Source organism: Homo sapiens, chromosome 12, assembly GCF_000001405.40.
Source record: "Homo sapiens chromosome 12, GRCh38.p14 Primary Assembly".
NCBI classification, from domain to species: domain Eukaryota; kingdom Metazoa; phylum Chordata; class Mammalia; order Primates; family Hominidae; genus Homo; species Homo sapiens.
In genome coordinates, this window is record NC_000012.12 from 17,320,343 (window position 1) to 17,337,847 (window position 17,505).

The 17,505-nt window shown below is 33.7% G+C and overlaps 2 annotated features.

Moving 5' to 3' along the window:
• Positions 12,496–13,695: an enhancer, noted in NCBI's record as "P300/CBP strongly-dependent group 1 enhancer chr12:17485772-17486971 (GRCh37/hg19 assembly coordinates)". NCBI's record gives its function as "activates an origin of replication core promoter dependent on BRD2, BRD4, P300/CBP, MED14 and CDK7 cofactors, with strong dependence on P300/CBP, by STARR-seq in HCT116 cells {active_cell/tissue: HCT116}" and the evidence as "EXISTENCE:reporter gene assay evidence [ECO:0000049][PMID:35650434]".
• Positions 17,093–17,262: an enhancer, noted in NCBI's record as "experimental_26385 CRE fragment used in MPRA reporter constructs". NCBI's record gives its function as "activates a minimal promoter by MPRAs in K562 erythroleukemia cells, with activity observed for both the introgressed and non-introgressed 12:17490454 variant alleles {active_cell/tissue: K562}" and the evidence as "EXISTENCE:reporter gene assay evidence [ECO:0000049][PMID:34662402]".

The following is a 17,505-nucleotide window of genomic DNA, read 5'->3' on the forward strand; positions in this document are numbered from 1 at the left end:
TTCCTTTTGGTGTTGATTTCCTCCCCTACAGTCTAAGAGTACTTGATATAGTTTAGGTTTTCTTACATTTACTGAGACTTGTTTTGTGCTCTATTATATGGTCTGTCTTGGAGAATGTTCCATGTGCTGATGAATAGAATGTATATTCTGCAGTTGTTGAAGAGAATGTTCTATAAATATCTGTTAAGTCCATTTGTTCTAGGGTATAACTTAAGTCAATTGTTTCTTTGTTGGTTTTCTGTCTTGTCAACCTGCCTAGTACTGTCAGTGGAGAATTAACATCCCCTGCAATTATTGTGTTGCCATCTATCTCATTTCTTAGGTCTTGTATTAATTGTTTCATACATTTGGGAGCTCCAGTGTTAGGTGAATACATATTTAAGATTGTGATATTGTCCTGTTGGACTAGTCCATTTATTGTTACACAGTGTTCCTCTTTGTCTTCATTAACTGCTGTTGCTTTTAAGTTTGTTTTGTCTGATATAGTAATAGCTACTCCTGCTCACTTTAGCTGTCTATTTGCATGGAATATCTTTTTCTACCCCTTTACCTTGAATGTATGTTAGTCCTCATGTTTTAGGTGAGTCTCCTGAAGACAGCAGAAACTTGGTTGGTGAATTCTTAATCAATTCTGCCATTCTGTATCTTTTAAGTGAAGCATTTAGGTCATTTACATTCAATGTTGGTATTGAGATGTGAGGTACTATTCAATTCATTGTGCTATTTGTTGCCTAAATACCTCTTTTTTAAATTGTGTTATTGTTATATAGGTCCCGTGAGATTCATGCTTTAAGGAGGTTCTATTTTGGTGTATTTCAATGATTTGTTTCAAGGTGTAGTGCTCCTTTTAGCAGTTCTTGTAGTGCTGGCTTGGTAGTGGCCAATTTTCTCAGCATTTGTTTCTCTGGAAAAGACTATATCTTTCCTTCATTTATGATGCTTAGTTTCGCTGGATACAAAATTCTTGGCTGATAATTGTTTTCCTTAAGGAGGCTAAAAATAGGACCCCAATCTCTTCCAGCTTGTAGGGTTTCTGCTGAGATATCTGCTATTACTTTGATAGATTTTCCTTCATAACCTACCTGATACTTTTGACTCACAGCTCTTAATATTCTTCCCTTTGTCTTGAGTTTAAATAATCTGATGACTAGGTGTTAATTTTTTTGCAATGGATTTATCATGTGCTCTTTGAGTTTCTTGTATTTGGATGTATAGATCTCTAGCAAGGCTGAGGAAGTTTTCTTTGATTGTCCCCTTAAATATGTTTTCCAAACTTTTAGATTTCTCTTATTTTGCAGGAACATTAATTATTGTTAGGTTTGGGCACTTATAAGAGTCCCAAACTTCTTAGAGACTTTGTTCATTTTTTAAATTCTTTTTTCTTTGTTTTTGACTGATTAAGTTAATTCAAAAGCCTTGTCTTCAAGCTCTGAAATTCTTTCTTCGGCTTGTTTGATTCTATTGCTGAGACTTTCCAGTGCATTTGGCATTGCTGTAAGTGTGTCCTTGATATCCAGAAGTTGTAATTTTTTTTTCATGCCCTCTATTTCACTGAAGAACTTTCCTTTCACATTCTGTATCATGGTTTCAATTTCTTTAAGTTGGACCTCACCTGCTTCCTTGATTAGCTAATATCAACCTTCTGAATTCTTTTTCTGGCAATTCAGAGATTTCCTCTCAGTTTGGATCCATTGCTGGTGAGCTAGTGTGATCTTTCGAGGGTGTTAAAGAACTTTGTTTTGTCATTTTACCAGAATTATTTTTCTGGTTCCTTCTCATTTGGGTAGACTTGTCAGATGGAAAATCTGGGGCTCAAGGGCTGCTTTTCAGATTCTTTTGTCCCATAGGGTGCTCCCCTGATGAGATGTTTTCCTCCTTCCCATAGGAATGGGGCTTCCTCAGAGCTAAGCTGCAGTGACTATTTTTGCTCTTCTGTGGCTAACCACCCAGTGGAGCTACTGGGCTCTGGTACTAGAGAGTATCAGCAGAGTCCTGTGATGTTATTCGTCTTCAGGTCTTTCAGCTATGGATACCAGCACTTGCTCTGGCGGAGGTAGCAGGGGAGTGAAGTGGACTGTGTTAGGGTCCTTGGTTGTATTTTTCTTTAGTGTGCTGGTTTTGTGTTGGTTGGCCTCCAGTGAGGAGGTGGTGCTTTCAAGAGTGTATCAGCTGCAGTACTGTAGGGAGGAAGCAAACTTGCCCTAGGGTTGCCTGGTGAAGTGTTCAGATTTCTCAGGTGGTGGGCAGAGCTATAGAACTCCCAAGAGATTATGTCATTTGTCTTTGGCAACCAGGGCAGGTAACAAAAGACCACCAAATTGGGAATAGGTGTGTCTGAGCTCTGACTCTCCTTGGGCAGGGCTTACTGCAGCTGCTATGGGGAGTGGGGGTGTAGGTATCAGGCCAATGGAGTAGGGGTGTAGTTCTCAGGCCAATGGGGATTATAACTGCCTCTGCTGAGTCGTACAGGTCACCAGAAAGTTGGAGAAAGCTGGCAGTCACAGGCCTTATCCTGCTCCCATGCAGCCAGCAGTCCTAGAGGCTGGTCTTGCTCCCACTGTGCCCCCTGCCAACAGCACAGAGTCTATTTCCAGGCAGCCAGTGACCAGGGCTGAGGACTTGCCCCAGACCACCAGCCTCCACACTGAGAAAGCAAGCAGACTCACAGTTTTCCACTATCTCAGGGAGTCAGCAGAAAGCTGAGTCTGTGAACTCTCTCAGCTTTCTTAGTATGTTGCTGTGGTAGTTCTTGGAGCGAAAGTTCATGACGTGAGTCTCCACATGCTGCTCTGTCTGTCTGAAAGGGAGCTGCTGCTAGTCCAACCTGCTATCTGCCATCTTGCCCAAATCAACTACTTTTAAAAAATGATCTTAATTCAAATATCCTGTTCTCTTGAACTTCTATCCTACCATAGTAAGGTCATAGACAGAAAGAATGTCAGCTTATGCCCTGGCTCCACCAAGAATTTCTATTCTAATGATCGCATTATGAGAAAGTTTGGAAAGCTCAGAATCAAATTAGGGCAGTGAGGGCAGCAGCACCTGACATTCACTGGGCTTCAAGATAATGGTTTTATTTCAAAGTATGAATGTATCTCAATAATTTAACAACTAATATGACCACAACAGTGCCTACTGGCTAAATATTAGCTCCATGATGCCAAGCATCTTGCCCATTGAAACGAGGTCTTTATTCCTCTGTTAATCTTTCACTGGTTATTAGCTTTTGTAAACATCTAAAAACAATGTAGGCACAATGGCATGCGATTGCAAAGCAAAACTGCAAATCTTATAACAAAAGTGTAGGATTTCTTAAAATTGTTGAAAATTATGTTGAAGAGCTACATCAATCCCTGACAATAATTAAATACATCAATCACCAGTTACTAATAATAAATGCAGTTAAATGAAGTTAGCATATATTAATGTAATTACGTACTAAAAAACACTACTGCACTTTTCATTGGTAACTAAGTAAATAAATAAATAAGCAAGAATTAAATTTGGGTTCATCAAAGAGCTTATTTGACAAACAAAGGATAAGACAGGTGTTAGGGAAAACTGACAAGCACTTGATTTCTCTTTATGATCATGCTGTAAATATTAGAGTATCTTTATAATTATGATATCTTTATAATTATGCTTCAAAATTATATTATCTTTATTATATTAAATATATAATTTTAGATATAAAGTCAAAGCTAATTTCCTTATTTATTTCATTGTTCATTTTAATAAAAGGATTTTAGTTACACATATAAGCTAAATTTTAAGTATCAGACAAAATAGATATACATGCATGGTTTTAAGCTTCATTTTTCAAGATAAATTTCTGGTGAAAACATTTGTCAATATTTCCTATAATTTTAAAAATTTCAAGTACATTTAAATGGTCATAGAGTTTATTATTAGACTCTGCAAAGGGAACCAAACCAGGCTTGGGAATGGTTGGGGAACACTTCCCAGAAGTTGTAGGGTCTGGAAGCTGAAGAATGAATTTCGGAATTAGTCACATATAAGGCAAATGCCGCATTTCTTCTTTTATTGGCTATCTTCTTTTAATATATTTGTGTATATTCTCTGCAACTCTTTGTTGGTTGTTTCCCTCACCTATCAACTATGGACCTCACACATATTCACTGTTCAGCAGGTCTGAAACTCCAAGATTAAAACTCTCTTCTCTGTCATGGTATTACCTCTGTAAGTCACTAATAGTAGGTGCTAAATTTGTGGTAGGCTGCAACTCCATTTGCATTCTTGCATTTAACTTTCTTTAAGCATACCAACGAGATCATACTGGTATATTAGTGTTACAGGAATCCACGCATGTGGTAGATGGGGACATGAGAAACACTTCCACTATCTCAGGCTACGTAGGATCTCTTCTTATAACCAGAGAGAAAGATCGGGCATGCTAATCAGTTACTGGCAGGCAAAGATGACAGTTAAATGTTAACTCATCTTAGCTGCAGTGGAATATATGACACTATTTTGAGAAACAATGTGGGGGATAATATGTTGTTTCTTTAGTACTATAGATTCAATTACACTTTTAGTCCATCTGAATTTGTGAGCTTCCAGTGTATTTTGTAGAGGCGATGAAGGTTACTAATGTTGTCTTTGGTTCCAGACTGCTTGAGTTCGAATCCTGGTTTGCCTGAAATATATCACTGTAGCTTTAAGCAATATACTTAATCTCTCTGTGCCTTTGTTTCTTCATCTTTAAAATGGGGATAATATGAGAATCTACATCATAGGACTGTTGCGGATTTAAATTATTTAACATACATTAATAGAGCTTTGAAGTATCTGTCAAATGACATGCACTCGATATAGATTAACGATTATTAGGTAAGTAAATATTTAACCTTTCTGAGACTCTGTTCTCTTACCAGCAACGTGGAAATTCTAATATCTACTTTGTTGTATTAAATTGAATGCATTAATGTAGGTGAAAACACTTGGCACATATGCCAGCTGGGCAAAGACTCATGGTTGCTTGTCTCTCTCTCAATATCCTAACATTAAGCAAACTCTCCTTTGAACCTAGTTGCCTCTTAAGGGAATAGGTGGAGAGTAACAAAAAGACAGTCTTGATGGGGGTTAAAATTTGAACCGACTCAATACTCAAAGGGATATATAATTTGAAAAACGTATTTTTTAATTGGATATGAGAAGACACCTTTAATCAGCAAATTTAGTTCCTTCTCTCTAGGCAGGCAGTTGTAAAGATGTGTAAACCAAAGATAGTAATAATCCTAAAGTTTTGTTCATCTTAATTAAACTTTGACTTCCCTTTTAAAACAATACTTACAGACCTGATAAATTTCTAAAAGTAAACATTCCTCGTGCTTTTTATTTTTCCTTGTGCAGCATATAATACAATATTCTTTAACAATTCAACAATCTAACTTGGTTTACATCTTTGGAAGTGTGAATTTCTGTGAGCATATTCCTTGAGAACATGAACAAAAAGATGTGTAACAGTTGTAGGCTAGTAGAATTTTGATTTGTTTTTATTCCTCTCTGTCTTCACGTTGCCATATGAGTCGCATCTACAATTATGCAGACTCTTGGTAGGGTTAAGGCTGCATGCTTGACACTTAGCAAAGTGTTTTTTCCTCCCCCAATCATTTTTGTTGTTGTTTGGTTAAATGCTCCAGGTTTACGTGTACTTTCACATTCTGCAAGAGGCGTAGTAATCTATGTGTGATAACTACCCAGCTGAAACGCACAGAGAGAATTAATACAAGGATGTTATGTCATCTGTGAATTAAACCACAATTGGCCTTAACTATTACTCCTTAAAGTGTAGCATTTTGTCATTCTCTTTGATACTAAAAGATGTTCACATACTTGTAATTGGCAGATAGGCTTAATTTGTGCTGGTTATAGTGCAATGAGCGAGGCAATTAAATAGGTTCTGATTTTTTTAATTGGACAAAACACTTTGCTTAGTCACAAATATAGGGACTTTTAGAGGGTATAAAATTCCTTCTGATAGAAGATAATTATTTCTTTGATCTCAATTAAATTTCTTACAGTATTTATTGAGGAGAAATCATTCTTCATTTGAATATAGCAATCTTTCTAAACAAATAACACATTCATTTATCTCACACTCAACAGTAAAAATTACCAAGACTATGTTATTATAAAAAGAATCTTTTTTTTGTTTGTTTTTATTTTTCTTTCCACCAAATTTACAACTGAAATTTAGGGATTAACAACAAAGTGTAATTTCTGGAACACTGCTTTGTGTATAAACCTTAATGGGTGATTTGAAATGTATCTTTGAAAAGCAGGGGTCCTTCCTTTACTCTCATCAAGCTTGAGTGAAAAAGGTCAAGGCTCAGTAAAGTTACTAGTCTTATCCTGGGTATTAAAGTTGCTAAGGCTGTAGTTTTTAACTGCAGGAAAGAATGTAGTCTAGTGGAAAAAGCATTTGAATACTCAGAGATAAGAGGGTCCAGGTATCTCTGGGAAGACATTCCCTAGCCATGTGACGTTTGTTTAGTTAATCAAACTCAATTCCAGTTTCCTTATCTGTTAGATAACATGTTAGATAACAGGGTGAGTCCTGTCCAACTTCTAAACATCCTCTGATTCTTTAACACAATACATTAAAATAAAATCGAAATGTTACATGTTTAATTGTCTATGTTCAATGATTAAAATGCAATACTTCCCATATAGGATTAGCAGTGTTCTTTTTCTGTCCAGTATTATCCCTCCCCCACTTTTTTTTCATTCTTGAGCTGCCAGGAGACAGTTACAGAAGAGATCAGATTGGATAAATTCTAAAATCAAGTATTATAATTATTATATTTATAACATTTACTTTTATAATTTTGTAAATTTATAAAATAATTTAATCAATATATTTTATAAATATAATAATTATAATTATAATTATAATAAAGTATAAATAATTTATACATTTAAGTAATTTCAGAAATACTCATCAAACTAAGGCCTGAAAATATATGAAAACATTAAAATTCCAAAATAAATTTGATATTTCACCCGAAAGTTGGCAAAGGAGTTAGCCTTTGAGTTTGAAGACCTTCTGTGCATCACTAGATTACAAAGAAAGCATATGTTGTAACACAGTACTAAGACTATAGCAATATCTCTTATTACAAATTGATGGGAAGCTAGAAATAAATTCATAAGAAATGCCCTAAAGTACATTCCGTATGTAACTCTAGTAGAAGAAGAATCACATAATGAACTGTACTGAAAAAATATTTATATACTCCTTACATTTGTCTGGAAAGTTAAACTACTGCATACAAAATAGTCTTTAAAAATAATAATCATGATCTAAATCACCTCCTACTAAACCAGAATTCAAATAAGTAGATTTATGATAGAATATGATTACTTTAAGATTATTTCATAAAATTTATTCTCAAGAGAAAACAACCTGATAGAAAGGCAGATGAATTAAAGATTCATATTTTGGTGAACTATATTTTTTATACATTTATGGAATTTGAATATGTATTTTTTGTAATGAATACTAGCACCTACTTAAAATTAATGTTTAGTATTTTTTCATAAGACGTTATAAAGTCTTTAACCGTCAAATTGCATTTATTGTCCTATACACATGAAGTAAGGGGAGACAAAAAATATTTCATTAAAAATTTTCAATAATGAAAATATTCTTAATAAAATCTCCAATTAACCATAACACTTAAATTCATAAGGAACTCTAATAACAAGTCAAAATAATACACGGGGGAGAAAATTTAGTTCTGGCCTTCATTGTAGAGATTTTTTGTATCTTCTTCCTCATGCTATCCCATTTCTATCACAGTTCCTACCGTATATTATCTGTTTAATTAATGCTGATTATGAATATTATTAATAATAATATTACTGTTATATCTATGACTTCATAAATACTTGTTGAGGGAATGAGTAAATGGAAATCAAAATTAACTTTATAAAATAAAATAAAAATACAATTAATTTTATATACTTTACCTATGTATAGTTCAATTTTGTTTCATAATTGCCAATATAAAACCCTGAAGTGACCCATATTTGGTATTCTCTGGTTCTTACATTTGAAGCCTTAAAGGTTCGCTTTCAAAAAGGTATATCGTTGTAACTATTGATATTTTCAGTGTATGAAGACAAATCCTTGAGTAGTTAATTATACATTATTTAAAATGCTTGCTCCTTCTTCATGTAAATTACAGTCATATTATCATCATTATTTTTAACGTTGGGTCTTTTGGTTCATCTACTAAAGTGTAATTTTTCTAGTGGAAAACAAAGTAACAGTGTGTTTGGCATCTATTTTTGTTGTAGAAGTACATGTGTATGTTTGTCCGGTCTATGTGTGTGTTTGGGTTAAACAGTAAATCAATAAACAACACATGCTTTACAAAGCAGTCAATGAACAAAGGTTGAGCAAAGCTGTGCACATTAGTAAACTTGTTTTACTGTAATAAATCCTGATCATCAGTATACAAGAAATCATATTCTTTTAATGACTTATTTGCAAGTACAGGGCAAATTAGAAGCTTTTGAAAAATTCATTAACCATTTGACCTATTTGATAACTTTTAGTTCACTAAAGAAATTATTACCGTAGAAGTTGAGAAGAGTTTTGTTTATATTAACACACACACACACACACACACACAGACACAGACATACACATATTTTTATATGTATGTATGTGTATTTGTATGTGTGTGTGTATATATATGTAAAATAAGGTGAAAAACAGATCTATAGAACTTATATCTTGATTGTTTTAACTAACTCAAGTAGTTTTCCTAAAAGGCAAGACTTCAGCCACATTAAGTCCACAGAAGGGAGTTGTCTCAGTTCTAATTCAGGCTCACAATAGATTTAGAGCCTGAACTTGACATGGAATATTCAATCTTCTGAGAATTTCCTTCCCTTCCTTTCTTATTCTTAGAATCCCACATTATCTTCCTTGTAGCCTCCCTCAATCCTCTCAAGCAAATAATCCAATTGACATAATGCAATCAGAAAGACTTGGATTTTATTTTTTATTCTCCACTTACTAGCCATATGACTTTGTAAAATTATTCAACTTCTCTAATCTCAATTTCTTCATCAAAAATTAGACTAATGATGTTTATCTCTAGTACAGTTAAGAAACTTAATAGTTAAACTCTATAAAGTAATGACACATAATAGATACTGCATAAATGCTGAGGACCTTGCGACCAAGCCACAACGTTTTATATTTACCTTCTTTATGGCATTTACTGTCCTGTGTTATTATATAGTTTATATAAATGTGTTCTTTTTTGGAACACTATTATTTTACTTAAAAATCTTTGTGTGTAGTCCCAAAGCCTCATAAATGCCTAGTATGACAGTCACACACATAGATGAACATGTGTTGTTCTTGTTGAAGGAGTAAGTGGCAACAATTGATTGAAAACTATAGAAATTAAGCATGTTATCGGAGCAATAAAAAACAAATAAAATAGCACACTTAATGCACTTATAACTGTGGCTGGCATTATAAGTATTCAATAAATCTTAGCTCTATTATTATTATAAAATAATCTGTGATAAATAGATATTCATAAAGTTCTAAGGGAATCTGAGGTAGGAAAGATTACTTTTGTGAATCGGAGAAGAAATGAGAAAAGGATTAAAATATAATCTGAGTCCTTAAAGATGAGTAGAACTTCACCAGGTTCTATTTCATGTAGCTGAATAGAAACATCACATTTTAAACATGAATATTGAGAAGTGACACTTGGTAGGCATCTATCTGTACACTGAAGATTCAACATATTGAAAATCACAAAATATAGATGGGAGAAAACTAACTCGGAGATAATTTACCACTAGATGATATGCATATTTCTTATTATTGCAAGAAGGATATACTAAATTAACATGAGATAGTGAGAATTTAGTTAATAGGATGTTTTCAAAGTCAATCTTCATTTTCATTTCTTTACTCAAATCATTTCTTAATTCTGGTTTAATTTTTAAAATCATATCAAGTCACCATTCCAATTCGGTATCACTAATTTTCTGCAATATGCAAACTATCAGAACTGATGAGGTAACATAAAAAAACTATTATGATAGCAAAACACAAATGTGTACTATGTGGGATGTGAAACAAAGCCCATCTTTGTTATATCCTGAAACAGATTGGAAAAGATTCACCCTACATTCGATTAATGAGAAATGGCAAAGGTTATTAAAATGTGTGGATAAGTAAGAAATTATGCTTCATTTGTTTCTGTGAAATTGTGATAAAATAGAAAATCAACAAAGTAACTCTATCAAATGGGTTGCAATTTAATCTTTACTCATTAAAAATAGCAACAGCAACCAGCAATCCAACAACAAGAAAAACAACAAGCAAAATGGCTCTGGCATATTCATTGGAAGATTTTTAAATGGGATATTTTATCCAAAATTTAAGTATTAAAAACTCAGAAACACTCTTCTCTAAAACCATATCCCCATGCCAGAAAGAATTTTTTTTTAAAGAGTTCAAAAGGCACTTTCTGAGATTCTGATACTCACTTGTAAATTCTGTGCTCAAGGAAAATGATATCTAAGGTTCCTTTAAATTAAAAAAATCTATGATATTAGGTTAAAAAAAAGAAAAATGAAATGGCAGTTGGCCATGCCTTAATGATTTAACTTGGCATCTGGTCAAATGACCTGGTCAAATGTTCTTTTGAAAAATGTCATGGAATTTTTATTAATGATGAATATTTAAGGTCTCAAGCCATACTCATCTTAAAGAAGACTACTTTAGCTATCTAGGTTATGTCAAAACTGGGTTTTGAATGACTTGACCCTCATAATAATTGAACTAGTTCTGCATGTAAATGCAGTCTAAATCACCTTTCTCTCAAGCATCTAAATTCTTTTGTTGGATGTGAGCAAACTATGCTCCAAAAATTAAAGAGATCTACAAACATTTATTGATTCGGGGAACTGGGAGTTATCATTCAGTTGCTTATTTCAATGCTGAATTTTGTGAAGTTAAATTTTGCAAACTTAGTTTTATGGACTGTGTATTTCTTAGAAATTACTAATTCCCAATATAACCTTATTCCAAATGTCCTAATATAAAGGAAATATGTTAATGTAAAATATTGGTAGTGAGAAAATCTAAACAGATTTTCAAGTGAATAAGCAACTTTGAGTAATGACAAAAATAAATATAGTTCTTGACATTTTAATTTTACTTACAGCTAACATGTACCATGTGACAGGTATTTTCTTAATGCTTTTTATAAATTTTCTTATCTATAGTCGCTGTGTGAAACTTTAGGATGAAGGCACAAGGTTATACAGCTAGTAAATGCTGTTACCATAATTGAGGAGAGTGGTTTTAAAAACAAAGCTTTCAAACTTCTTATTGGAGTGCAAGTGCAAAGACGTGGGCTGAAATCCCAGTGCCACCACTTATGGGTACAGTGAAGTTTCCTACAACTTAAGTTGTTTTACTGTACCTCAATTTTCTTATGTATAAAATGGGAATAATAATATCTGCCCCATAGAGTTCCATCAGAAATAGCTAAGAGGATACATCTGATGATCTTAGAAGACTATTTCTGGCTCATATAACAATGATGTACTGTTATTGATATTATTATTTTTGTCAAGATTTTTTCTATTTATTTCCATTTGGCAATAATTTTTTTTTTTTTTTTTTTTTGGAGACGGAATCTCACTCTGTCATCCATGCTGGAGTGCAGTGGCCTGATCTTGGCTCACTGCAACCTCCACTTCCAGGGTTCAAACAATTCTCCTGCCTCAGCCTCCCGAGTAGCTGGGACTACAGGCACACACTGCCAAGCTCAGCTTATTTTTTGTATTTTAGTACACCGTGTTGCTCAGGCTGGCCTCGAACTCCTGAGCTCAGGCAATCCACCCGCCTCAGCCTCCCAAAGTGCTGGGATTACAGGCGTGAGCCACCGCACCTGGCACCAATATTTTTTAATTAGAGTTGTTGCATCTTATATACTACAGGGATATAATAAATAATTTGAGATTACCATAGTGTGCCATTAACTTCAGAAGACAAGATTTCTGGTATGTCAGAAATTAGGAGATTACTGTTTCAATACATTATTAGGAAATATCTTAACTAGAATATATTCCTGGCTATATTAAAACACTTAGTCTAAATAATAATAATAATAATAATAATAATATTTGTAACACAAAAGTTTACAACTTAAAAATAAAACAAATATGTGTATCCAAAAATTGAGTCCATTCTACATGTACTATAAAAAAGCAGGGGTGTCAGGGAGGGAAAGGAAAAAAGGAAAATCAAAAACTATTGAGTGCCTGTGATATGTCAGATTCTAGACTCGTTTTTTGTTTGTTTGTTTGTTTTTGAGATAGTCTTGCTCTGTCACCCAGGCTGGAGTGCAGCAGTGTGATCTCAGCTCACTGCAACCTCGGCCTCCCAGGTTCAAGCGATTCTCCTGCCTCAGCCACCCAAGTAGCTGGGATTACAGGTGCCTAACACCAAGTCACGCTGATTTTTGTATTTTCAGTAGATATGGGGTTTCACCCTGTTGGCCAGGCTGGTCCCAAGCTCCTGACCTCAAGTAATCTGCCTGCCTCAGCCTCCCAAAGTGCTGGGATTACAGGCGTCAGCCATCGCACTTGGCCAAGATTAGTTTTTAAAATATACGTGCTTGAAAATTACTCCTCATTTTTTATTAACCTCATAAACCTCATAAACCACCCATTGCCAAAGCTTGTCGATTCATTCAAAAATTCATTCATTTCTGCACATCTACCTTGTTGATTTAGTCCAAACTACCATTATCTCTCACTTTCATTAACATAATTACCTTCCAACCAGTCCACCTTCATCTTCACTGAGCCACCTTCTAACTTATTCTCCATATACATAGAGAATAACTTTTTGATGAATCAATCTGATTATGTCACCATATAATCTTCCTTGATTTTTCCCACTCTTCAAACTTTTCAATAGATTTCCATTAAGACAAAAATAAATATGTGATCATACTCCGCCTACCTCCCCAGGTTCATCTGAGACAACTCCCCCTTGCGTGTTTTTTCTCTTCAACGAAGTGACTCTCTTTTAGTCACTTCCCTATACTGGCAATTGTTCCCCTGACACAGACCTTTGGACAGAATTTTCTTCCCCCAGAATGTTCTTGAAATTCTTCACCTGGTTAACTCTGACTCATTGTTCAGATCTCAAATGAATCATCAATCACTTTTCAAAAGTCTTTCTCTGACTTTTGTGACATAGTAAGATTCATACTGTAGACTCTGAAATCAACAAATGCCTCTTCTTCAAACTGATTATAACAGTTTCAACTTTATATGTTCCTATGTTTATTTGATTTGTCTGTCTCTGCTCTAGATTGGGTTAATAATAGCTAATTTGTATTAGATATTTACTAGGTTCCATGCATTGTTTTAATGTACTTTATACATTAATTAATTATAATTCTTATAGCAACCTAAAAAAGTAAGTTCTATTATTAATAATACTACTGTATGAATGAAAAACATCTAAAGCACAGAAAAACTTAAATACATTGTTCAAGGTCACAAAATAGCAGAGACAGAATTCAAATTCAGGCATTACACTGAGAGTACATTCTCTTAATCACTTCATTTGTTGCCTTTTAGGAGCTGCAAAAGGATAGCTATTACTTCTATTGTATCCTAAGAAATAAGCATAGTGATTGAATGTAAGTTGGTAAAAAAATCATTGAAAGATTCATTTGCATTGTATGCCTAAATGTAAAATGTACTTTTGTTTTAAACCAACAATTTATTTCTAGGGTTATCTTGCAGTTCTAATGGTACATGTGCTCAGTGTATGTAGGACGTATATTGCTTTGCCGTGTATAGTAGCAATATGCCAGGAACAATGACAAAGTAAGCCTGTAGAAGACTAAATAAATAAATCACACTGTATTCATATGAATGAATACTCTATGGCCATATCAAACATTAGAGCTCTATTATTTATATGAAATGATACTGAAAATATAAGGCTAAGCAAAAAAAAAAAGTGAAGGAAAACACTATGTAAAGCTTATTAAAAATTTTAGATGATGTTGTAAATAAATGTATATATCCAGAATATCTAGACATGTACAAGAAATTGATAATAGTAGCTGTCTTTGAGAATGATGATAAAAGCAATAGCTATCACTATCAGAGTGACTTATTTCTTATTTCTGTTTTTGTTGTATGTTTTCTTCTTCCAATAACATGTATTGCTTTTCTAATTTTTTAAAAAACAAGTTTAATTTGTGGACTAGAAAATACGATAACTCAATGGGGATTTTTTTTTTTTTAATTGTAAGGCAAATACAAAAGTCTCTTTTTCAAAAGTATATGTCATTCCTCCAGAAGGATTAATTAATTAGAAGTGAAGGAAAAGACATTAAAACTTTAAATTAAGGTTATCTGCCCTTATAATGGGAAAGGGGAAAAACAACTCTTTAATATATATTTAAAAAACAATTGTTAGCCACTTAGATGAGTCTTAATTCATCTTGGGAGAGAGAGTTGCTCCTTTAGCAAAGCACTTTAAAGGTCATTGAGTATATAACAATGAGCACCGCCACTCCCACACCTTTAGCCTCAGGGCAAACATAGACAAAGTAAAGTTAGAGCTGAATTTGTATGCAGAATAAGTAAAAGATAAGTTTCTTTGGATAGCTTTGTAGCAAGGGGTTCTTTGAGTCTGAAGACTGTCCAAGGCTTAGGAGAGCCAGGGTAACGTATCAAAGACTGTACAATGAATATCACAAGAACAGTGATAGTCAGTATTTAAGTTTTAGTCGTCTCCTTTTCTGCAGTGTGCTCCAAATCTTAAATAAAAGATGATCGCGTGAACAGATCTCTATTAAAGATGCTATGGAGTATGACAAATAAAATGAAGTGGTGGTCAAGATGAGATGACAAATATCAACTGCGGGACCAAGAAGGGTGGTCAAGAACATAGGCTGTAGGTTGGAAAAGTAGGCTGCAGGGCAGATGAAGAGAAATATAACTTTTTATTTTTCTCATGCAACTACATTTTTTTAAACATATTAAAAGTCTTCTAGAATTTCCAGAGTGCACAAATAGGGCATTGAGGGGTTTTGTTGTTGTTTTCTTGAGACGGAGTCTTGCTCTATCTCCTAGGCCTTGAGGTATTTTAAAATAAGAGACGTCTTATAAGGCTGAAGAATTAGGACTTTTACTTGGATATCTTGGATTTATGTGTCTTAAGGAAAAAGTGCAAACTGAATAAAATAATATCTACTTCAAATTCTATGATAAGGTTTAAAACAAAATGCCTACATTGCATTTCCTAAAATTTAGAGCTATCATAAACTCATTAAATCATGTGCAATGAATTTGATAATACTGAGATAGAAATAAAAACATTTTCAATATTTCTCTTAAGACTGTGAAATATAAATTATGGACAGACCCAGTTTACATTCAAATGTTTTCCTCAGTATTTTCCTCACTTGGCCATCCTCAAGGTGATGCGTGAGGTGATTTGAGTACCATTCTAAAGTACGGTCCAAGGCTAAGCATTCATCCAATTTTCAGTTTAATTGAAATAATAATTTTTATATCATCTACATTTTTATTCTAACCAAATTTTTATTTGCTGAATCTTTGAAATGCACTTTAGTGATGGAGCACTGTAAGAGGGTAAATTTGGATGTAATTAGACAAAAGTAAGATATTAAATGTAAACATTCTTCCTTTGTTAACATTGGAAACTTTCCAGCATAGGTAACTCTAGAGTACTATCTTCTGGACATTATTTATAGCAAAATTCATATGGAAAATAACATAAGCATACACACAACATAGGAACAACTATAAAACCATGATTATTACACTATATTAAATAATATTAACTAATACGAAAACGTCTTTCTCACCGATTTTTGTTAAAGAATTATCCGATTTTCTGAATTCTTTCCCTTTTAATTACTTAGTGCTTTTTAAAATAGGCTTTTTTTTTAGTTTTTGTTTTCTCTCCTCCTGTCAAATTATTGTTTCTTATGTATGTGTTCATGAAGTTTTTACTTAAAAATATTTTCAATGCTTTTGGCATTTTGATCAAAGAATGTAAATTTGGATAAAAGTTTATATGATTTATGCCAGAATATTAATATATATACATATTTTACATGCAACTGAAAAAATATAGTATACCAAATTTGATATAGATGCTAGTGAATCATATTTTATGGGACTCAAATTTTTAATTTTATATTTCATAAATTTACCTTTTAAAGATAAAATTTCTCCCAACACTTTTTTGTGGTAAAGTTTGCATAATATTCACCATCTTAATCTGAAACATTTAGTGCAGACACAATATTATGCGACCATCACCGCTAAATAGGTCCAGAACATTCTCATCACCCACAAAGGAGAGTGAATATCCGTTAAGCTTGTGTTTTTGGTCTTTATGGATTGCCCTGTTATATATATTTCACATTACATTACACGTGTGTGACCTTTTTTTTAAACCTTCTTTCACTAAGCATAATATTTTCAGTGTTCATCCATACTGTAGCAGGAATCAGTATTTCATTTCTTTTCATGGCTGAATAGCATTACATTGTATGGATGTACCATATTCTGTTTATCTGTTCCTCAGGTGATGAACCTCTTGGTTGTTTCCACTTTGCTGCCATTGTGAAAAGTGCCGTTATAAGCATTTGTGTACACATTTTTTATCTGAACAGCTGTTGTGATGGTTTATTTTCAGTGGCAACCTGACTGAGTTAAAAGATATCCAGATAGCTGGTAAAGGACTATTTCTCAATATGTCTATGGGGGTGTTTCTGGAAGAGATTGGCATTTGAATCAATGGACTGGAAAGGAAGATCCACCCTCATCAATGGGAATGGGCGTCATTTAATCCATTCAGGGCGTGTATAGAACAAAAAGGAAGAAGAAAGAGGAATTTGCTCTTTCTTCTGGAGCTTGGGCACTCGTCTTCTGTCTCAGACACTAGAACTCCAATTCTTGGACCTTTAAACTCCAGAGACATATACCATTGGCTTCCCTGCTTCTCAGGCCCCAATCCTATTGAATAACAACACTCACCTTCCTGGTTCTTCAGCTTGCAGACATCATAATATGAAACATCTTAGCCTCTATGATCATGTGAACCAATTACCATGATAAATTATTTTTTATATAACTCACTATATATCCTGTTGGTTCTGTTTCTCTTCAGAATTCTGACTGATACACCAGTTTTTAATTCTTTGGGTTATATGGGTTATATATCCAGGAGAGGAAATGCTGGGTCGCATATTGATTTGATGTTTAACTTCTTATGGAACCATGGGACTATTTTCTACAGCACCTTTACCATTTTACATTCTCACCAGCAATGCATTAGGGTTCAAATTTCTCCATGTCTTTGCCAGCCCTTGTTATTTTCCATTTTAAAAACAATATCAATATGCCATAATATTATATGACCTG